Source organism: Homo sapiens, chromosome 2 (assembly GCF_000001405.40).
Source record: "Homo sapiens chromosome 2, GRCh38.p14 Primary Assembly".
Lineage (NCBI taxonomy): Eukaryota > Metazoa > Chordata > Mammalia > Primates > Hominidae > Homo > Homo sapiens.
Genome location: NC_000002.12, coordinates 185,858,059 through 185,880,979, shown reverse-complemented (window position 1 = coordinate 185,880,979; position 22,921 = coordinate 185,858,059). Strand labels below are relative to the sequence as shown.

General features: G+C 36.3%; 4 annotated features.

Annotated features, from left to right (window-relative positions):
- Positions 3,883-4,826: an enhancer, noted in NCBI's record as "H3K27ac hESC enhancer chr2:186740881-186741824 (GRCh37/hg19 assembly coordinates)". NCBI's record gives its function as "activates a minimal SCP1, AML or CMV promoter by ChIP-STARR-seq in naive and primed H9 embryonic stem cells {active_cell/tissue: H9 hESC(naive and primed)}" and the evidence as "EXISTENCE:reporter gene assay evidence [ECO:0000049][PMID:30033119]".
- Positions 4,827-5,772: an enhancer, noted in NCBI's record as "H3K27ac hESC enhancer chr2:186739935-186740880 (GRCh37/hg19 assembly coordinates)". NCBI's record gives its function as "activates a minimal SCP1, AML or CMV promoter by ChIP-STARR-seq in naive and primed H9 embryonic stem cells {active_cell/tissue: H9 hESC(naive and primed)}" and the evidence as "EXISTENCE:reporter gene assay evidence [ECO:0000049][PMID:30033119]".
- Positions 15,260-15,968: an enhancer, noted in NCBI's record as "NANOG-H3K27ac-H3K4me1 hESC enhancer chr2:186729739-186730447 (GRCh37/hg19 assembly coordinates)". NCBI's record gives its function as "activates a minimal SCP1, AML or CMV promoter by ChIP-STARR-seq in primed H9 embryonic stem cells {active_cell/tissue: H9 hESC(primed)}" and the evidence as "EXISTENCE:reporter gene assay evidence [ECO:0000049][PMID:30033119]".
- Positions 15,969-16,678: an enhancer, noted in NCBI's record as "NANOG-H3K27ac-H3K4me1 hESC enhancer chr2:186729029-186729738 (GRCh37/hg19 assembly coordinates)". NCBI's record gives its function as "activates a minimal SCP1, AML or CMV promoter by ChIP-STARR-seq in primed H9 embryonic stem cells {active_cell/tissue: H9 hESC(primed)}" and the evidence as "EXISTENCE:reporter gene assay evidence [ECO:0000049][PMID:30033119]".

The window sequence follows — 22,921 nt, the reverse complement described above, 5'->3', positions numbered from 1 at the left end:
CAATTACTTCATTTCTTTCACTTGACTAAATCATAATACTGTCTTTCTACTCCATGCCTCTATTCTCTATTGATGCAGCTAAATATTATGGAACAAATCACAGAAGCATGTTGCCTGGTTTTATTTTAAATTGCTGATCACAAAACTTTAGTTCTTAGTCCTGTCACGAAGTCATCCTTTTCCTTTCACCATCCCCTTTGGATGAATATTCCATCTAAATATAATGGATAAATATTTGGATTGGATAGTTCTTCAAATATCCAATATAGCAATCCTCCTGGTCTTAACCTTGGCAGAGGTCTTTGATCCCATTGCCCCTAAGGCAGTTCTCAGCATATAGTTCCTGGAATGACAGCACCACCTAGGAACTTTTAAGAAAAGCAAATTCTTTGGCCCATTCCCGGGCATAGTAAATTAGAAACTATGGAGTTGAGACCTAGCAATCTATATCTTAACAAGCCATCTACGTAATTCTGACATCTGCTGGTCTTAGAACCACTGCCCTAAGAAAACTATAGCAATCAAAATAATATTCCCATAAGCCTCCCAAACATGTACTCATGTATCTTGACCTTTGTTCATTGCTGAAATGGACTTTCAAGGTTCCCAGTCAACATTCCTCATTAGTACTAGGTCTTATCCCCTTTTACTTTTTCAGAAATTTAGTTCCAGCAATTCTCTCTGTCCACTTAGTCGAGAACTTTTTATCTACTAGATTATTTCTATCAGCATTTAAACATGTTATCTCTCCCTTACTCTGAAAAAAAAAAAAAATGCTCTCCCTTGACGTTACCTACCCCTTTTAAGTATTCTCCAATTACATTCATTTCAACAAAACTACTTTAATGAGTGGTTTATAGTGTTTACTTGATAGTGATGTAGTATCTTTTTGATGTGTTATTGGATTTGGGTAGCTAGTGTTATTGAGGATTTTTGGATCTATGCTAATCAGGGATATTGGCCTATAGTTTTATTTCTTTGTTGTGTCCTTATCTGATGCGGTATCAGAGTGACAATGTTTTTGTTGAATGAGTTAAAGAAAAATCCCTCCTCCTCAATTTTATGGAATAGTTTCAGTAAGATTGGTACCAATTCTTATTTGCACATCTGATAAAATTTAGCTGTGAATCCATTTGGTCCTGGGCTTTTTTGTTATGGGAAATTTTAAATTACTGATTCAACCTAATTAGTCATTATTGGTTTGTTCAGGGTTTCTGTTTTTTCCTGGCTTGATCTTGGTAGGTTGCATGTTTCCAGGAATTTTCCCCTTTCCTCCAGGTTTTCTAGTTTGTGCACATAGAGATATTATAGTAGTCTCTGATGATCTTTTGTATTTCTCTGGTATCAGTTGTAAAGTCAACTTTACAATCATTTCTGATTGTGCTAATTTGAATCAATCTTCTCTTTTCTCTTGGTTAATCTAGCTAATGTAGTGGTCTGTCAATTCTGTTTATCATTTCAAAGAACAGGTTTTTGTTTCATTGATTTTTTTTGTATTTTGTTTTGGTCTTAATATTATTTAGTTCAACTCTGATCTTTGTTATTTCCTTTCTTCTGCTAGCTTTGGGTTTGGTTTGTTCTCTTTTTTCCATTTCCTTGCAGTGAGATATTAGGTTATTAATTTGAGCTCTTTTGATCTTTTCGATATAGACATTTAATAGTATTAACTTCCCTCTTGGCAGTGCTTTTGCTGTGTCCCAAAACTTTTGATAAGTTGTCTCTGTTTTCCTTTATTTCAAAAAATTATTGATTTCTGCCTTAATTTCATTGTTTACCAAAAGATCATTCAGGAGCAAGTTGTTCAGTTTCCATGTATTTGTATCGTTTCCCTAGTTCCTGTTGGTATTAATTTCTACTTTTATTCCAATGTTGTTTGAGAAAATACTTGGTATGATTTTTATTATTTTTTAATTTATTGACTTGTTTCATGGCCAAGCATGTGATCTATTTTGGAAAATGTTTCATGTATGCATGAAAAAAAATATATTCTCTGTTGTTAAATAGAATATTTTGTAAATGTCTATCAGATCTGTTTGATCTAGAACCCAATTTAAGTCTAGAGTTTCTTTATGAATTTTCTGCCTCAGTCATCTGTTTTGTGTCATCAGTGGGGTTTTAAAGTTTCCCACCATTATTGTACTGCTGTCAATCTCTTTTCGTAGGTCTAGTAGTATTTCTTTTATGACTCTAGAAGCTCTGACATTGGGCACATATATATTTAGGATGGTCATATCTTTTTGTCGAATTGAGCCCTTTATAATGACCATCTTTGTCTTTTTACTGTTGTTGATATAAAGTCTGGTATATCTCATATAAGTATAGATACTTCTGCTTATTTTTATTTTCTGTTTGTATGATATATCATTTTCCACCCCTTTCCATTGAGTCTGTGGGTGTCTTTACCCATTCCATCGATCTCTTCTAGGCAGCAGATGGTTGGATCCTGTGTTTTTATCAAATTTGTCAGTCTATATCTTTAAATGGAACATTTAGGTCATTTATGTTCAAGGTTAATATTGATGTGTAAGATTTTGTTCCAGTCATAATGTTAGCTAGTTGCTTTCTAGTCTCAATTTTATAACTGTTTTATAGAATCTGTAAGCTTTGTATAATATTTGCATTTGCTTTTATCATGGTGAGTATCCTTTCAATTCCATGTTTAGAACTCCTTTGAGCATTTCTCATAGGAACAGTCTAATGGTACTAAATTTCCTTGGAATTTACTACTCTGGGAAAGACTATTTTTCCTTCATTGATGAAGCTTAATTTGGCAGGATATGAAATTCTTGGCTGGCATTTTTTTCTTGAAGAAGGCTGAAAATATGTCCCAAATCTCGTCTGACTTGTACATTTTCTGCTGATAAGTCATCTGTTAGTCCAATGGGATTTCCTTTATAGGTAAGTAGATGCTTCTCTCTAGCTGCTTTTAGAATTTTGCATCCACATTGCCTATGGCTAGTCTGATAACTATATGCCTTGGTGAAGTTTGTCTTGCAAAGTATTTTCAAGGCATTCTCTGAGCTCTTTTAAATGTGGATGTCTTAATCTCTAGAAAGATCAGACAATTTTTTAAATTATTCCTTCTAAGGTGGTTTTCAAACTTTTAACTTTTTTCCTTCTCCTTTAGGATTGCCTGTAACTCATAGGCTTGGTCACTAAGACTTTGTTCATTTATAAAATTCTGCCTTTATTTTTGTCTGAGTTAATTCAAATGACCAGTCTTTTAGCTCTGAAAGTGTTTTTTTTTTGTTTGTTTTTTTGTTTGTTTGTTTTTGCTTGGTCTGATTGAATCTTAAATGTTTGAATTGTGTTTGAAATTCCTTAAGTGAATTTTTCATTTCCAAGTACTGTTTGGATTATTATTGTTTAATATCTATCTCTTCTTTCATAACTGGAATTGTTTTTATCTGATTCCTTTGTGTTGGTTTTCAACCTTTTGGATCACATTGGGCTTCCTGATAATTCATATTTTTATTACTTTATTTGTTATTTCAGAACTTTTATTTTGGTTAGGATCCATTGCTAGAGAGCTAATATGATCCTTTTGTGGTGTCATAACACTCAGTTTTTTCATGGTGCCAGCATTCTTAATTTGGATCTTTCTTACCTGGAGTTTTTTTTATTTATTTAATTTACTTTCAATTGGATTTTTTTTCTCTCCTTGAGTGTGTGAATGTAGCATATGTTGGGTAGGGTCCTTTGGCTCTGCTTCTATAGCTCTGTGCAGTTCTGTCAGTACGTTTTGTATTGGGTTATGCAGTTCAACATCTCACTTTACTGAGAGGTGCACTCTGTTGTTTCAGGTGATGGGCTAGTCTGTGAAATACCTGGTGCTCTGGGTTCCTTGTCCAGCTGAATGGTATGGGAAACAAAGCTGGGCAGAGCTAGACCAACAATCTCAGCCATGAATACCCCATGACAATCGCAGGCAGCAGCCCTGATGAGGCTGACTCGGGGAACTCCTGATGAAATGTAGCGGTGTCTGCAGCGGAGGAGGGGACTGCACCAGCTCCACATCCTAGACAAACAGGAACATGATGTGTTTCTCTATCATACTGCTATCCCAGAGCTCATGATTCTCAGTTTAGATGCACACTATCCTCCATCTCAAGGCCACAATGTAGCTGAGAGCCTCAGATAATGCATGTCATGTAGCGTGGGAAGAGCTCTGCCTTTCAGAACATGTAGGTGGGTTTCAGCTGTGGTGGGGTAGGCTGGTTGGTTCAGCCCAACCTAAATTCTGCAGGGAGTGAAAAAAATCCAGATACCTAGATGGCCCACTGAATGGCATACACAAGTTCTGGAGGGACTGGACTGAGGCCAAGCCAGCGAACTTGTCCTCAGGTCTCCTGTGTCTAGGTGCTGGCTGTGATACTGAGAGGCAGCCTGGTCCACAGGTCACCAGCAGAACTCTCAGGCAGAGGCAGGCAGAATGCTCAGGTGTCAGCAAAATGCTCAGGTGGTGGGATCCCCAAGGTAGATCACAGGCCTCTGGCGGCTGGGCTCTCAGAAGAGCTCTGAGCCATAGCTGAAATGATCAGGTAGGAGCAGGGTGGCTACTCTGTGGGCCTGTCAGTGGGGAAGGCAGGGCCCCCTCAGCAGTAGCAGTAGAGGAAGGCACTTGTGGGGTACATGGCTCACTCATGCCTCCCTCTCACAGAAGCAGCAACAGGTATCCCTCGCTGGGACATGTGAAGGTACCCAGTCTCCCGCTCCCTCCCTGGACTGGCAGTGAGTATGGTGGTGGCAGCAGCATTGGCAGTGGGGGCCACAGAACAGAATGTAGGCCTCCAAGGGCTAGGATTTCAGAAGGGTGCTGTGCCATAGCCAAAATGCTTAGACCAAGGCAGAGTGGCTACTCTGTAGGCCTGCCATTGGGAAGGGCAGTCCACCTCAGTGGGAGCCATGGAGTTTGGAAGCTTCAGGCACACGGCTCACTTGCACTTCTCTCCTGTAGAGGCAGTGGTAGATTTTACTGTTCGAGGCACACAAATGTGCCCAGTCTCGTTGCTCCTTCCCTGGCACAATGGGGTAAGGATAGCAGAGACTGTGGTGGTAATGGTGGTGGCAACTGTTTTAGGAGCCCCAGGGCAGATTACCAGCCTTTGGGGGCTGGGATCTCAGAATAATGCTGGGGCATAGCCAAAATACTCAGGTAGGGGCCAGGCAGCTGCTGAGGAAGGCAGCCATGGCTTATGTGGTCTGCCCACTAGATAGGGGAGCAGTGGAGGCAGACAGCTGTGGGGTGTGTGTTTTGTCCACTCGTTCATCCCACAGCAGTGGCTGTTGTGTCTATCTTTGGGGTGCATGAAAATGCCCACCTTTCCACTCTCTTCCTGGTAGGGCAGCGCAGCTGGCACTAGGATGCAACTGCTGTGATCAAAGCCTGTGGCATTTCTCGTGGGCTTGAACAATGCCTCTGCACAGTATCTAGGCAGCTTCCTGTGTTAGTCTGGAGGCCCACGGGGATAGAAGGGGCTCTCCCATAGCTAGAATTGTAAAGGTCTTTGGCCAGAGTGCGGAGCCTCAGGAGTCTCTCATTTATTCAGCCCTTCCCTGTGTTGGGGAGCCTCTCCTAGCTAGATGCTGCTTCCAACTCAGCGCGCTGCTTGGCTTCACTCTTCTCTGCTTCCCATGATTTCTGTTGTTTCTCTGATGAATTCCAGTTTTCTCTCTCAGAAAATCAACTTGAAGTGTTAACATTTCCTTGCTAATTTGATTCCTCTCTGTGAGAGTGTACCCACTAGCTTGTTCCAGTCAGCTATCTTGAACCAGAACAATTTTTTCTTATTCATTGGTTTCTCCTGTCTCTGAACTTTTTATGCACATCAATTTTACATCAAAAACATAACACTGAATTACACATCTATCTTAAATACCTCATTGACTTTTAAAAAACAGCATCCTGGAAAGATATAATTAGACTATAATTATAATGTATAATGAATGTGTAATTTTTGCCAATTATATGTTTTCCTCAGAAACCTTGCTTTCTGCAAAAGCATGCACTAAAACTAACAGGTGTTTTAGAAGAAATAGGTTTAGAAGAAGCCTACTCCAAACTTAAGTAACTTTGTTACTAGAGCCCTTACAATACTAATTCTCCAGATCTGTTATTAAAATATATGATATCTTTATGTTTCTTTTTTGTATAATAATTATAATACTCTTCATATTCATACATATCATAAACCTAATGCTCATAATATTCATATTTGAATCATGATATGTTATTAAATGTATAAAAGGCTAACCATAGAAATTTAATTATGTATATACAATATATAACAATTTTAATGGTTTAGTTTTTAGTGAAACTGACTTATGCAACTGGATTATAATTTACTTAAACTCATATTGGAAATTATATATTAATTGTTTTCTATTTAAATCTGTAACATGATACACAGTCTTGTGTATAAATCCTTTATATAGTCGTCTTATTAAGTTTTAGAGCTGTAATTTATATAAACTTAAACCATGGACAAGATAAAATTTTATGAAGTCTGAGTGATAATGTAACTGTGGAACCATTACCACAAACATCTCTATCATGCCAAACATTCCTTATACACCTTTGCAACCTGTTTCTTTCTCTGCTCCTGGCTGCACACAAGCCTCTTGTCACTATGTATGTTTTAATTTTCTGGATTTTTGTATAAGTGAAACCATGGAGTATGCACTACTTTTGTCTATTTCATTTCACACAAGAAAATAATTTAGAGATTCATCCATGTTGTTGCATTTATCAATAGTAGTTAATTTCCTTTTTATTGTTGTGTCGTGTATCATCACATAGACATACCATCATTTTAAACCCATTTTCCTGCTAAACATTTTATTATATGCTTATTGGCCGTTCATGAATCTTTTATTTGCAAAGTGCCTGTTAAAATATTTTGCCTACTTCTAAGAAAGTTTCTCTTACACTAGATGACAAAGAATTTCTCTAATATTTTTCCAGAACTTTTCTAGTTTTAGCTTTTACATTCAGATCTGTGATCCATTTTGAGTAAAGTTTTATATATTATGTAAGATAAGAGTTGGTATTCAGTTTCTTTTGGCCATATTGATATTTATATGAATAAATTTAAGAGTAAATTTTGTGGTATCGATATATTTGTTTTCTATATATGACTAGCTAACTATCTCAACTTTTCTGTGGGCTTAATTAAATATCTGACTACTATTGAACTATGCTGGCACCAGGATGCAAACTGCTCAGGGATTGAAAGCCTGTGATATTTGAACTATGAGCTATTGAACTATGAAGTGTATTGAACTATGTAGTGGCAAATGTAGCTCCAAATAAAGGAGCTCCAAATTTTGAGTTTTTTTCTTCCCATTACCACAGAATAATAATGTAGTGGCTGACTCCCGCCCCCCAAAAAATATTCTCCCCAAATTAACTCAGTTAGGCAGCCTTGTGTTTGTATTCTTTTACTTCATCTTTGCTCTACACATTTCCAAAACAGTGTGAGAGTGGTAAATGTTTCTTTTTCTCACTCACAGCTCTATTCAAGTTAGAATTGCCTTCTTTTCTCGATTTGGTGTGTACTCTCTTACTGATAAATTATTCAGGAAATTTTCAAATCTTCCTTAACACCTTTTCCTAGTCTTTCATATTCAGTATTATAAAAAGCTTTCATAAATACTATTTTTAAAAGGTTCTACTGTTAGTCATACAAAATTCTATTTTCATTTATATTAATCTATTTTTGGCTTGATATAATAACTGAAAATTGTAACAGCTACATATGCTAACAGTAACAGAATTTATCCTTTATTAATTTAGTGCTTACCTCATGTAATGCTTGTGGACTAACTTGAATGAGAATATGTTGCTAGTATATCTCACATTTTATTAGACTCTAACTTGTCACAGGGTTTTTAAATGTGTTGGCTTTGAATATTTATTATGAATTCATTAGAAGAGAGTTTCAAAGCATGATTTGCATCTATGAAAGTCTTGAAACTGAGGATAAATTATTAACATTGTCTTTTTGTTCTTATGTAGAATTTTGTTTGTTTAAATATTAATAATCTTTCAGTGAAATGCAATTAAATTTTAATTAGTTTGTGTAAATGAGTTAACCATATTGATTATTGTGCTGTAGTAAACATCAGAGAAATGCACTTATCACCTAATATGCTGTATTAATAATTAAAGATGGACTTCCAGCTTATTCAAAACATAGCATATAAGCATAACCTTTAGCAATTCACACATCAGTTTAGAATGTGACAATTCGATGAAAGACACTTAGACTATCCAATAAATTCATCAGAAAATGAAAGGTTTTTTTGTTCATTTTTCTCTTTGTCGTGTTTATTTCACTTGGAAAATGTATTTATAAAATCGTGACTGTAAATCCAGAAATCTATAAAGAAAGTTCCTAAATTGTTCCCACTTTATGTGGTTGTATAACCTATTGTTTGAAGGAGTATTGCAACTAAGAAGCTAGAAAGCTGTGTGAGCTAGAAATACAAATGAAATTCCTGTTTCAGAATTTACCTACCCAAATGCAAGTGATGTACTGAAAGAAATGCAACTTGCAAGTATGCATTGTTATATAATTCTTTTAGTAAAATTGTTAAATTTACCATAATTTCAAGCATTTCTGTGGTTAATGATGTTTGAAAGTTTTGGCATTAAAACATAAGATATTACTTAACCTTAAAAATAATATTATTTAACATTAAAAACCATATGAAAATAAATGATAAATAAGGAATGATGATTTCCATTCTACTAAAAATTTAATTTTATTTATTAATTTTAGAATCACGAATACTTTACAAAAGAAAAAAATAAGTGATACTCAGAGTTAACATAATTGTTTTGATTCCCCATAATTCATTTCAGACTTCAGGCATATTTATAAATGTTTCTTAATATATCTTGATATGTGGCCTCCAGATTCGTTTCAACAATGTTGATATAATAGTCATTTATGTTCCAATTTTCATTAGTATTTAGCCATATTTTTATTATAAAAGATATAACATTTATATTTCATTTTCTGAGAATTTGTTATTGTAATTTCTACAGAACTGGTTTCATATTTAAAAATTATTTAGTTTGGTACATTAGATATGCTTTTAATGTACCTTTCTATTATGCATTGCTTACATTAGTCATATCACTTTTTACAAAGTATTGTGATTATCAGTTAATGTGTCTTTCTTGTGTATTATAGTGAGCCAAAGCTACAAGTGTTCTACTTATTCTTGTATCACCTCACTGTGCACAGTGCCTGAGACATAGTAGAAACTCAGTAAATATTTCACATAATCTCCTTCAGCACATTAAATAACATTAAATGTAAGTCCAAAATCCTATGTGGGATTCTGTTTAGTTTTTAACTTAGTTTTTGAGATCATAAGCATAGCACTTGTAGTTCTTAAGTACTGGAGTTAAAAAGTCATTACCACTCTCTTGTCTCTCTCACATCTGATCCTTCTAGGTGCAAATGGTAGTATTCTTTAAGGAAGCCACTGTTCCCACTGGGAGTAACTTATCCCATCAACATAACCCTTTTCTATGTTTTCTGGAGTGAAGAGAACTGGTTAAATCTTTTAGCTACGTATAAACTGACATAAATGAATAACGAAGTGTAAATGATATGACCCTTCCCTAAGTGTATTTATTTATTGTTTCTTTTATCACCAGAACTCTTACAAGTCTCCAAATTTGAGGTTTCACCTCACATGAAAAGATCATAAGACTTTTCTGCAGTAGTTCCCTTAGCTGTCATTAAGTGCCTTTGAACGTAAAATTGCATATCTGTTAATTCTCCTATTGATCTAAAGAGACCTGGGTGTCTTAGATGAACCCGCATGAACCCTCATTTTCTTTCAACGTGACATTATGGGTTATTTGAATTCTCCAGAGGAGAAGTGAGACATGTGAGGTTGCATGGAAATTTAGGTCATGCTTTTATTTGATCAAATTTAAGATTACTTTGTATCAGGTTTTCGTAAGTGGTTTATACACGTTAAATCATTTTATCAATGTACCTCTTACATCCTCCCCAAATGACCTATCTGCTGTCACTTTCTTAAAATTTCAGTAAGAACTTTGGAAATAAGATGTCTCTTAGAAATTCCAAATGTGTTGATTTTATTTCACCAAAGTAAAGAAGATAGTTATCTTATGTATTATCATAAACAATCTCCCTCACAAAAATAGATTTCACTATAATTTTGAACTTTTGGGGGCGTAATTAGCATTCCTATAAGTGCAACAGCATAAAAACATGTAATTAAGACAACAGTATTTTAAAATAATATTGGAAAATTTATGATTTATGTAGAAAAACTTTTTTTAATTTATTTTATTTATTTATTTATTTACTTATTTTTATTATACTTTAAGTTTTAGGGTACATGTGCACATTGTGCAGGTTAGTTACATATATATACATGTGCCATGCTGGTGTGCTGCACCCACTAACTCGTCATCTAGCATTAGGTATATCTCCCAATGCTATCCCTCCCCCCTCTCCCCACCCCACCACTGTCCCCAGAGTATGATATTCCCCTTCCTATGTCCATGTGATCTCATTGTTCAATTCCCACCTATGAGTGAGAATATGCGGTGTTTGGTTTTTTGTTCTTGCGATAGTTTACTGAGAATGATGATTTCCAATTTCATCCATGTCCCTACAAAGGACATGAACTCATCATTTTTTATGGCTGCATACTATTCCATGGTGTATATGTGCCACATTTTCTTAATCCAGTCTATCATTGTTGGACATTTGGGTTGGTTCCAAGTCTTTGCTATTGTGAATAATACCGCAATAAACATACGTGTGCATGTGTCTTTATAGCAGCATGATTTATAGTCCTTTGGGTATATACCCAGTAATGGGATGGCTGGGTCAAATGGTATTTCTAGTTCTAGATCCCTGAAGAGTTGCCACACTGACTTCCACAATGGTTGAACTAGTTTACAGTCCCACCAACAGTGTAAAAGTGTTCCTATTTCTCCACATCCTCTCCAGCACCTGTTGTTTCCTGACTTTTTAATGATTGCCATTCTAACTGGTGTGAGATGGTATCTCATTGTGGTTTTGATTTGCATTTCTCTGATGGCCAGTGATGATGAGCATTTTTTCATGTGTTTTTTGGCTGCATAAATGTCTTCTTTTGAGAAGTGTCTGTTCATGTCCTTCGCCCACTTTTTGATGGGGTTGTTTGTTTTTTTCTTGTAAATTTGTTTGAGTTCATTGTAGATTCTGGATATTAGCCCTTTGTCAGATGAGTAGGTTGCGAAAATTTTCTCCCATTTTGTAGGTTGCCTGTTGAATCTGATGGTAGTTTCTTTTGCTGTGCAGAAGCTCTTTAGTTTAATTAGATCCCATTTGTCAATTTTGGCTTTTGTTGCCATTGCTTTTGGTGTTTTGGACATGAAGTCCTTGTCCATGCCTATGTCCTGAATGGTGATGCCTAGGTTTTCTTCTAGGGTTTTTATGGTTTTAGGTCTAACATTTAAGTCTTTAATCCATCTTGAATTGATTTTTGTATAAGGTGTAAGGAAGGGATCCAGTTTCAGCTTTCTACATATGGCTAGCCAGTTTTCCCAGCACCATTTATTAAATAGGGAATCCTTTCCCCATTTCTTGTTTTTCTCAGGTTTGTCAAAGATCAGATAGTTGTAGGTAAGCAGCGTTATTTCTGAGGGCTCTGTTCTGTTCCATTGATCTATATCTCTGTTTTGGTACCAGTACCATGCTGTTTTGGTTACTATAGCCTTGTAGTATAGTTTGAAGTCAGGTAGTGTGATGCCTCCAGCTTCAATCTTTTGGCTTAGGATTGCCTTGGCGATGCGGGCTCTTTTTTGGTTCCATATGAACTTTAAAGTAGTTTTTTCCAATTCTGTGAAGAAAGTCATTGGTAGCTTGATGGGGATGGCATTGAATCTGTAAATTACCTTGGGCAGTATGGCCATTTTCACAATATTGATTCTTCCTTCCCATGAGCATAGAATGTTCTTCCATTTGTTTCTATACTCTTTTATTTCCTTGAGCAGTGGTTTGTAGTTCTCCTTGAAGAGGTCCTTCACATCCCTTGTAAGTTGGATTCCTAGGTATTTTATTCTCTTTGAAGCAATTGTGAATGGGAGTACACTCATGATTTGGCTCTCTGTTTGTCTGTTATTGGTGTATAAGAATGCTTGTGATTTTTGTACATTGATTTTGTATCCTGAGACTTTCCTGAAGTTGCTTATCAGCTTAAGGAGATTTTGGGCTGAGACAATGGGGTTTTCTAGATATACAGTCATGTCGTCTGCAAACAGGGACAATTTGACTTCCTCTTTTCCTAATTGAATACCCTTTATTTCCTTCTCCTGCCTAATTGCCCTGGCCAGAACTTCCAACACTATGTTGAATAGGAGTGGTGAGAGAGGGCATCCCTGTCTTCTGCCAGTTTTCAAAGGGAATGCTTCCAGTTTTTGCCCATTTAGTATGATATTGGCTGTGGGTTTGTCATAGATAGCTCTTATTACTTTGAAATACGTCCCATCAATACCTAATTTATTGAGAGTTTTTAGCATGAAGCTTTTTTGAATTTTGTCAAAGGCCTTTTCTGCATCTATTGAGATAATCATATGGTTTTTGTCTTTGGCTCTGTTTATATGCTGGATTACATTTATTGATTTGCGTATATTGAACCTGCCTTGCATCCCAGGGATGAAGCCCACTTGATCATGGTGGATAAGCTTTTTGATGTGCTGCTGGATTCGTTTTGCCAGTATTTTATTGAGGATTTTTGCATCAATGTTCATCAAGGATATTGGTCTAAAATTCTCTTTTTTGGTTGTGTCTCTGCCCGGCTTTGGTATCAGAATGATGCTAGCCTCATAAAATGAGTTAGGGAGGATTCCCTCTTTTTCTATTGATTGGAATAGTTTCAGAAGGAATGGTACCAGTTCCTCCTTGTACCTCTGGTAGAATTCGGCTGTGAATCCATCTGGTCCTGGACTCTTTTTGGTTGGTAAACTATTGATTATTGCCACAATTTCAGCTCCTGTTATTGGTCTATTCAGAGATTCAACTTCTTCCTGGTTTAGTCTTGGGAGAGTGTATGTGTCGAGGAATTTATCCATTTCTTCTAGTTTTTCTAGTTTATTTGCGTAGAGGTGTTTGTAGTATTCTCTGATGGTAGTTTGTATTTCTGTGAGATCGGTGGTGATATCCCCTTTATCATTTTTTATTGTGTCTATTTGATTCTTCTCTCTTTTTTTCTTTATTAGTCTTGCTAGCGGTCTATCAATTTTGTTGATTCTTTCAAAAAACCAGCTCCTGGATTCATTAATTTTGTGAAGTGTTTTTTGTGTCTCTATTTCCTTCAGTTCTGCTTTGATTTTAGTTATTTCTTGCCTTCTGCTAGCTTTTGAATGTGTTTGCTCTTGCTTCTCTAGTTTTTTAATTGTGATGTTAGGGTGTCAATTTTGGATCTTTCCTGCTTTCTCTTGTGGGCATTTAGTGCTATAAAATTCCCTCTACACACTGCTTTGAATGCATCCCAGAGATTCTGGTATGTTGTGTCTTTGTTCTCGTTGGTTTCAAAGAACATCTTTATTTCTGCCTTCATTTCGTTATGTATCCAGTAGTCATTCAGGAGCAGGTTGTTCAGTTTCCATGTAGTTGAGCAGTTTTGAGTGAGATTCTTAATTCTGAGTTCTAGTTTGATTGCACTGTGGTCTGAGAGATAGTTTGTTATAATCTCTGTTCTTTTACATTTGCTGAGGAGAGCTTTACTTCCAAGTATGTGGTCAATTTTGGAATAGGTGTGGTGTGGTGCTGAAAAAAATGTATATTCTCTTGATTTGGGGTGGAGAGTTCTGTAGATGTCTATTAGGTCCGCTTGGTGCAGAGCTGAGTTCAATTCCTGGGTATCCTTGTTGACTTTCTGTCTCGTTGATCTGTCTAATGTTGACAGTGGGGTGTTAAAGTCTCCCATTATTAATGTGTGGGAGTCTAAGTCTCTTTGTAGGTCACTCAGGACTTGCTTTATGAATCTGGGTCCTCCTGTATTGGGTGCATATATATTTAGGATAGTTAGCTCTTCTTGTTGAATTGATCCCTTTACCATTATGTAATGGCCTTCTTTGTCTCTTTTGATCTTTGTTGGTTTAAAGTCTGTTTTATCAGAGACTAGAATTGCAACCCCTGCCTTTTTTTGTTTTCCATTGGCTTGGTAGATCTTCCTCCATCCTTTTATTTTGAGCCTATGTGTGTCTCTGCACGTGAGATGGTTTCCTGAATACAGCACACTGATGGATCTTGACTCTTTATCCAATTTGCCAGTCTGTGTCTTTTAATTGGAGCATTTAGTCCATTTACATTTAAAGTTAATATTGTTATGTGTGAATTTGATCCTGTCATTATGATGTTAGCTGGTTATTTTGCTCGTTAGTTGATGCAGTTTCTTCCTAGTCTCGATGGTCTTTACATTTTGGCATGATTTTGTGGCAGCTGGTACCGGTTGTTCCTTTCCATGTTTAGCGCTTCCTTCAGGAGCTCTTTTAGGGCAGGCCTGGTCGTGACAAAATCTCTCAGCATTTGCTTGTCTGTAAAGTATTTTATTTCTCCTTCACTTATGAAGCTTAGTTTGGCTGGATATGAAATTCTGGGTTGAAAATTCTTTTCTTTAAGAATGTTGAATATTGGCCCCCACTCTCTTCTGGCTTGTAGGGTTTCTGCCGAGAGATCCGCTGTTAGTCTGATGGGCTTCCCTTTGAGGGTAACCCGACCTTTCTCTCTGGCTGCCCTTAACATTTTTTCCTTCATTTCAACTTTGGTGAATCTGACAATTATGTGTCTTGGAGTTGCTCTTCTCGAGGAGTATCTTTGTGGCGTTCTCTATATTTCCTGAATCTGAACGTTGGCCTGCCTTGCTAGATTGGGGAAGTTCTCCTGGATAATATCCTGCAGAGTGTTTTCCAACTTGGTTCCATTCTCCCCATCACTTTCAGGTACACCAATCAGACGTAGATTTGGTCTTTTCACATAGTCCCCTATTTCTTGGAGGCTTTGCTCATTTCTTTTTATTCTTTTTTCTCTAAACTTCCCTTATGGCTTCATTTCATTCATTTCATCTTCCATTGCTGATACCCTTTCTTCCAGTTGATCGCATCGGCTCCTGAGGCTTCTGCATTCTTCACGTAGTTCTCGAGCCTTGGTTTTCAGCTCCATCAGCTCCTTTAAGCACTTCTCTGTATTGGTTATTCTAGTTATACATTCTTCTAAATTTTTTTCAAAGTTTTCAACTTCTTTGCCTTTGGTTTGAATGTCCTCCCGTAGCTCAGAGTAATTTGATCGTCTGAAGCCTTCTTCTCTCAGCTCGTCAAAGTCATTCTCCATCCAGCTTTTTTCCGTTGCTGGTGAGGAACTGCATTCCTTTGGAGGAGGAGAGGCGCTCTGCGTTTTAGAGTTTCCCGTTTTTCTGTTCTGTTTTTTCCCCATCTTTGTGGTTTTATCTACTTTTGGTCTTTGATGATGGTGATGTACAGATGGGTTTTCGGTGTGGATGTCCTTTCTGTTTGTTAGTTTTCCTTCTAACAGACAGGACCCTCAGCTGCAGGTCTGTTGGAATACCCTGCAGTGTGAGATGTCAGTGTGCCCCTGCTGGGGGGTGCCTCCCAGTTAGGCTGCTCGGGGGTCAGGGGTCAGGGACCCACTTGAGGAGGCAGTCTGCCGGGTCTCAGATCTCCAGCTGCGTGCTGGGAGAACCACTGCTCTCTTCAAAGCTGTCAGACAGGGACATTTAAGTCTGCGGAGGTTACTGCTGTCTTTTTGTTTGTCTGTGCCCTGCCCCCAGAGGTGGAGCCTACAAAGGCAGGCAGGCCTCCTTGAGCTGTGGTGGGCTCCACCCAGTTGGAGCTTCCGGGCTGCTTTGTTTACCTAAGCAAGCCTGGGCAATGGCGGACGCCCCTCCCCCAGCCTTGCTGCCGCCTTGCAGTTTGATCTCAGACTGCTGTGCTAGCAATCAGTGAGACTCCGTGGGCGTAGGACCCTCCGAGCCAGGTGCCGGATATAATCTCGTGGTGCGCCGTTTTTTAAGCCGGTCTGAAAAGCGCAATATTCGGGTGGGAGTGACCCGATTTTCCAGGTGAGTCTGTCACCCCTTTCTTTGACTTGGAAAGGGAACTCCCTGACCCCTTGCACTTCCCAAGTGAGGCAATGCCTCGCCCTGCTTCGGGTCGCGCACAGTGCGCGCACCCACTGGCCTCCGCCCACTGTCTGGCATTCCCTAGTGAGATGAACCCGGTACCTCAGATGGAAATGCAGAAATCACCCGTCTTCTGCGTCGCTCACACTGGGAGCTGTAGACCGGAGCTGTTCCTATTCGGCCATCTTGGCTCCTTCCCCGAAAAACTTTATATGACCAATTTAAATTAGTTTGATGCAAATAAAGGCTCAGAAGTTATCTCTATGAAGTTTGAAGAGATTAGTGACTTTGACACAGTTAAACACTTCTATGATATTTCAATGTAAACATTTCGAAACAGTTTTTAAAAGATGACTTTGTCTTTGGCTAGCAGGTTGATACTGCCTCATAAAATGAGCTTGGAAGTGTTCGTTCTTCTTCTAGTTTAAAAAGAGTTTAAGAATGATTGTTGCTAATTATTCTTTGAATGTTTTGCAGGATTCATCCATAAAGCCATAAGTCCTGAGTTTTTTATGTTGTTGGGAGGTCTTTAATTAATAATTAAAATTCACTTGTTATCTGTTTTGGCTTTCTATTTCATCTTAATTCAGTTTTGGTAGGTTGTAAGTTTCTGGGAATTTATTCTTTTTTTATAGGTTATCTAATTTGTTTGTATATAAGTGTTCCTAATAGTTCCTTATGATTATTTTTATTTCTTTGGCATCTGTTGTAATGTTGCCTGTTTTATCTCTGATTTTGTTTATTTGAATCTTCTTTTTTTCTTAGTAGAAGAATTTGTTGATTGTGTTTTTCAAAAAATTCTTAGTTTTTTAATGTTCTTCTAAAGCTTTTTATATTCTCTATTTGGTTTATTTCTACTCTGATCTTAATTATTTTATTCCTTCTGCTAACATTGGGTTTAATTTGTTTTTTTTTTTTTTTTTTCTAATTTCTTGAGGTATAAGGAATTAGAGAGTAAGGCATAAAGTTAGGTGGTTTATTTAAGACCTTTCCTGGAGGGAGGAGGCTAAGGAAAAAAAGACCTTTCTTCATTTTTAATGTAGGCATTTATGTCTATACACTTCCCTCCAAGTAATTAAGAGATACTTTTCCTGCATTTCATTAGTTCTGGGATATTGTGTTTGTTTTCATCCGTCTGAAGGTATTTTGAAATTCCCTTTTGACTTCCTCTTTGGACCTATTGATTGTTTTACTTAGTTTCTTTGTGTTTATGAATTTACCCTATTTCTTACTGTTGTTATCATTCTAGTTTTATTTCATTGTGATCAGCAAAGATGCTTGGAAATTACAGGCCAATATTGCTAATGAACATAGATGTAAAAGTCCTCAATAAAATACTAGCAAACCAAATTCAGTAGGACATTAAACGTGTTACATGCTATGAACAAGTGAAATTTGTCCCTGATGTGTTAGGCTATTCTTGCGTTGCTATAAAGAAATACCTGAGACTGGATAATTTACAAAGAAAAGAGGTTTAATTGGCTGATGATTCTATAGGTGCTGACATTACTTGGCTTCTGGGGAGGTGTCAGGGATCTTTGACTCATGATAGAAGGTGAAGTGGGAGCCTGTACGGCATGGTGAAATTAGGAGCAAGAGAGAGACAATGTTGGGGGATTGGGGAAGTGCCACACGCTTTTAAACAAAAGTATCATGTGAACGCAGATAAAGAGCTCAGTTTCCAATATCCAGGATCTCCTTGTAAATTTGTGGCTAGTCCCTTCTGTGCACCAATTATGACCGCAAACTAGTCCTAGCAGAGTTGTAGGTTTTCCCCTTTATTTCCTGCTGAGTTTGCTATTATTGATGAAAAAATCACTGTGGGTTTCTGCATTTTGCCCCAAATAAAGTGTGCCCTTTTTGACAGCAAAGCTTCTGGTTATGGTGGTTAGCCATACCCTGAGAAAACTGTCCTTCCACCTGACAAAGATCAAGAGAGAAGGAAGAAAGCAGCTTCACACAAAACAGACGTTGTTCTTACCTGATGCTCTGGCAGGTTATCATGAATAATCCCTTCTCACTTCCTTGTTTCCTCTTTGTCTATTTCCGGATCCTTGATAAGATTTGTTCTGATAATTTTGTTCAATTTTATACTTGTTTGGGGGAAGAAGATTCATTAAACTCCTGAAAGCTCTAGTCAAGAATCTATCCACAGCATTTGTAAATTTACTTAGACAATACTCTGGCACTCATAGAGAAAACATTGGTCTCTTTGTCTTTCTCTAGTTGTTTTATTATTTCCCTTGACCTCTAATGGGCTCTCACTCTGCTCATGGGAAAATAAATTTCTTAATTCACTACATTTTAGGTTCTTCTTGTTTAAGTAGTCTCTGGTTATATATTCAGACAATTAAAAAACTAATCAGAAGGCAAATAGTCTTTTGGAGACATTCCTATTGATTTAAATAAATATTAAGTCAATTGGGTGTCTTCCAAGATTATAGCTCCTAGATTGGTCTGGTTCTCACAGTGGTGACCAGTGGGTTGTGTCTGGCAAATTTTAATCATTTTAGACACCATAATGGTAACCACCAATGAAATCCTTCACCCAAATCTTTGGGTTTGGTCACAAAGCTTAAAGTTGTCTTATACTCATAATAATGTTTATGTGTATATATTAATATTTGTGTAGGTGCATTTAAATGAGTGCAGGTTTATCAAAATCCCTAGCATTGCTAATTTGTAATTATTATATTTTTTGCTTTTTTTGAAACTTTATACTATATGATTTTTAAAATTTAAGAGTCTGATATATTAGATTTAAGAGTTTTGTAAATGTTAGGAAGCATATGTTGACTAGATTTAGATGTAGATGTATTGAATTCTTGAGAAAAATGGACTGTTTTTTTCATGTAGTCTGAAATGTTTTAAGGAATTAATAAAATTTTTAAACCATGGTAAATGTTTAAGGCAGTTTTCCACTGTCCAAATGGTAAGGTAATTGAGCATGAAACAAAGAATACAAGTAAAAGTAAGCACTTGTAACACAAATTAGTATATTTACAAGTGACCATACCAGATTGTAAATTATGTTTACAAGTTTGAGGGAACTTAGATTTATAAAATGAATAAGTTGAATACTAAAGACAAAATACAAGCTATAAATCAGGGAATTTGGGGGCCAGTAGTGCAAGCACTCTAGTATAGTTGACTCAACAAACACTTGTCTCCCAATTAAAGAATCTAACACATTAGCAGAAATTTGATGCATAGAAAAACAGGTATCAAGAAAATAAGTACAACTCAGGTAAACAGCAATGGGGGAGGAGATGAAAAGGTGAGGTATAGATAGTGACCATAGTAGGGAGTCAGGGAATGGAGAAATGAGAAAGTAGTCAGCAGAGATTGAGGGACTGAACACTGGCTTCCTCAATGTATTATCAAGACCTCTGTCTTGCCATATGTATAACTTACATCTTAGATTTATATTTTTAAATTACTTTAACTGAATGTAACTAGCAGATCAAATCAGATCCTCATGGATAAATGAAGGTGAATTCACAATTCTGTGTAGAAAGCAATGTGTTGGTTCAGTAATGTCTTCTTCTTTTGGAAATAAATACAAGTCCAGTATTATACAAAGTAGAATCTGGTATTATCTAGGGGAAACAGCATAGAATTTACTTGTATTTTTATATAATAGCATTTCTGACCATGTTGCAGAAAGAAACTGCACATTGGAATTGGTCATGGAATCTGTGCTTTTGAAAAATAGAGTATGAGATAAACTTGTGCAAGAAATTGGCATTTGGACAGCTGAGTTTGGGGCAAGGTAATAGGGGAAAGAAATAGGGTACATAATGAGGACGTGAAAATGTAGGGCTTATATAATAAAAGCAAAATAAGATAAAGTGAAAGAAGTCTAAAGTTTAAAGTCTAATTAATGTTAAAATATGAACAGTATTACTGTGGAACATTAACTTTGAGGATTTAAAACTATAGTAAAGATTCATTTATCTGATATTCTGATTACTAGCACCTTTGCGCTCCTACTGTGCTATGATAATAAATTTCATGACAAAGAGCTATAGAAACCAAGAGATCACATTTCTCCTACACAGCCAATGAGGATTAAAATGTCAGTCAGTTTTACTATATTCCCATTACCAGAGCCCAGTTTAAGGAAGGCAGTTGATAATGTCTCACTACACACTCATTTATTCTCATCACTACTTTTCTCATTTACCTCTAAGAATTTTACATCCAATTATCTAGATTACTCAGTGAGATAGGTCTTTTGTTTTCTTTTCTTCTTAACTCATTCTAGGAGCCAGCATTACTCAGCCTAATAAGTAACTCTTTCCATTTAGTGATGCTCTTCTCAATTCAATTGTGTTATGTCCTGTCCTTAATAAATACAACTGTCTTCAGTTTCCCAAGAAGTTGAGGATTTTTTTTTAATTTTATTGTGGCAATACTTGCCATTTTAACCATATTTAATTGTAAAATTCGGTAGCATTATGTTCATAGTGTTGTGCAGCAATCAACACTTCCAAAACTTTTTCATCATTCCAAACAGAAACTCTGTCTATTAAGCAGTAACTTTCTGTTCTTACCCTCAAACTTAGCCCCTGGTAACCTCTCATCAACTTTCTGTCTGCAAGTTTGCTATTTTAGATATCTCATTTAAATGAAATTATATATTTATCATTTACATCTGGCTTATTTTACTTAGCATAATGTTCAGAAGGTTCAACTATGTCGTAGTATGTATTAGGGCTTCATTCCTTTTGATGGCTAAATAATATTCCATTGTATGTATATATGACTTTTTTTGTCCATTCACTTGATGATAGATTTTTGGGTTGTTTTCACCTTTTGGCTATTGCAAATAATACTCCAAGGAGCATTAATGTATAAATATTTGATTGAGTTTATATTTTCCCTTCTTTTTGGTATATGCCTAGAAGTGGAATTGCTAGGTCATGTAATAATTCTGCATTTAGCCTGCATTTAGCAATATATGTGTTCCAATTTCTCCACATACTTGACAAAACTTATTTTCTGTTTTTATTTTTATTTTGTTTATTTATTTTTAGTAGTTATTCTAGTCTGCATGAAGTGGTGACTCATTGTGGTTTTGATTTGAATTTCCCAATAGTGTTGAACATCATAGCATGTGCTTTTTGCTCATTTGTATATTTCCTCTGGAAAAATGTCTATTCACCTCCTTTGCCCAGTTGTTTTTTCCTTTTTGTTGTTGAGTTGTAGGAGTTTTTACAATATATTTTGGATTTTATACCTTTATCAGATGTATGATTTGAAAATATTTTCACCCATTCTGTAAATTGTCTTTTCACTCTCTTGATATTGTTCTTTGATATACCATTACTATACAGTTTTGATTACTGTAACTTTGTAAAAAGGTTTGAGATTGGGAAGTGTGATTCCTCTCACAATGTCCTTCTTTTTCAAGGTCTGGCTATTTGGGACCCTGTATAGTTTCTTATGAATGTAAGCATTAGCTTTTTTATTTCTGCATAAAAAAGCTATTGGAATTTTGCTAGGAATTATGTTGAATCTGTAGATCACTTTGAGTAATATTGACATCTTAATAATATTGAATCTTCCTACCCATGAACTAAGGATGTCTTTCCATTTATTTAGCTCTTCTTTAATTTCTTTCAGCAATGATGTATTCTTTGTAGTGCCTTTCATCTCTTTAAATTTATTCCCATGTATTTTATTTTTTTAGATGCTATTGTAAATGGAATTACTTTCTAGTATAGTTTGGATGTTTGTCCCCTCCAAACCTCATATTGACATTTGATCTAGGGCCTGGTGGGAGGTGTTTGGGTTATGGAGGTGAATTCCTCACGAATGGCTTGGTACCTTCCCCACAGTAATGAGTTTATGTGAGATTTTGTTGTTTACATGAGGCTGGCATGTCTCATTCCCTTTTATGCCATATGGCACACCTGCTCTCCCTTTGCCTTCTACTATGAGTCAAACCTTCCTGAGAACTCACCAGAAGCTGAGGAGATGCTAGTGCCATGCATGTATAGCCTGCAGAACCTTCAGCCAAATAAAACTCTCTTCTTTATAAATTACCCAGTATCTTTTACAACAATGCAAAATAGACTAATATACATTCTTACATTAAAAAATATTTATTTCAGGTCCGTAGAAACATAATTTGTGTGTGTGTGTATGTGTGTGTGCGCGTGTGTGTATCTTGCATAATGGACATTTGCTGAATTTGTTTGTTAGCTCTTTTAGCCTTTTTGTGGATTCTTTTGGATTTGCTATATACACAGAATTTTTCTTCTCATCTGAAAATAGACACAGTTTGACTTCTTCCTCTCCAATTTCGATGCATTTCATTTTTGTAAATGTCTAATTGTTCTGGTTGAAATTTGTAATAAGTTGTTGAATAGCTGTGGTTAAACATTAAAACTTTCCAACAAAGAAAAGTCCAGGAAGAGATGAATTCACTGGTGAGTTATACCAAACATTTAAGAAAAAATTAACACCAATTCATCTCAAAATCTTAAGAAAATAAAAGAGGAAAGAACACTTCTTAACTCATTCTAGGAGGTCAGCATTACCTAGATATTAAGCCATATAAAAACATTACAAGAAAACAAAATTAAACACTGATATTTCTTGTGAATATAGATAGGGAGAAAACTAACAAAAATGCTATAAAACTAAATTTGACAGCATATTAAAAAGATTTTAAACTACAACTCAGTGGGGTTTATCCCAGAAATGCAAGGGTTGTTCAAATTAAGAAAAC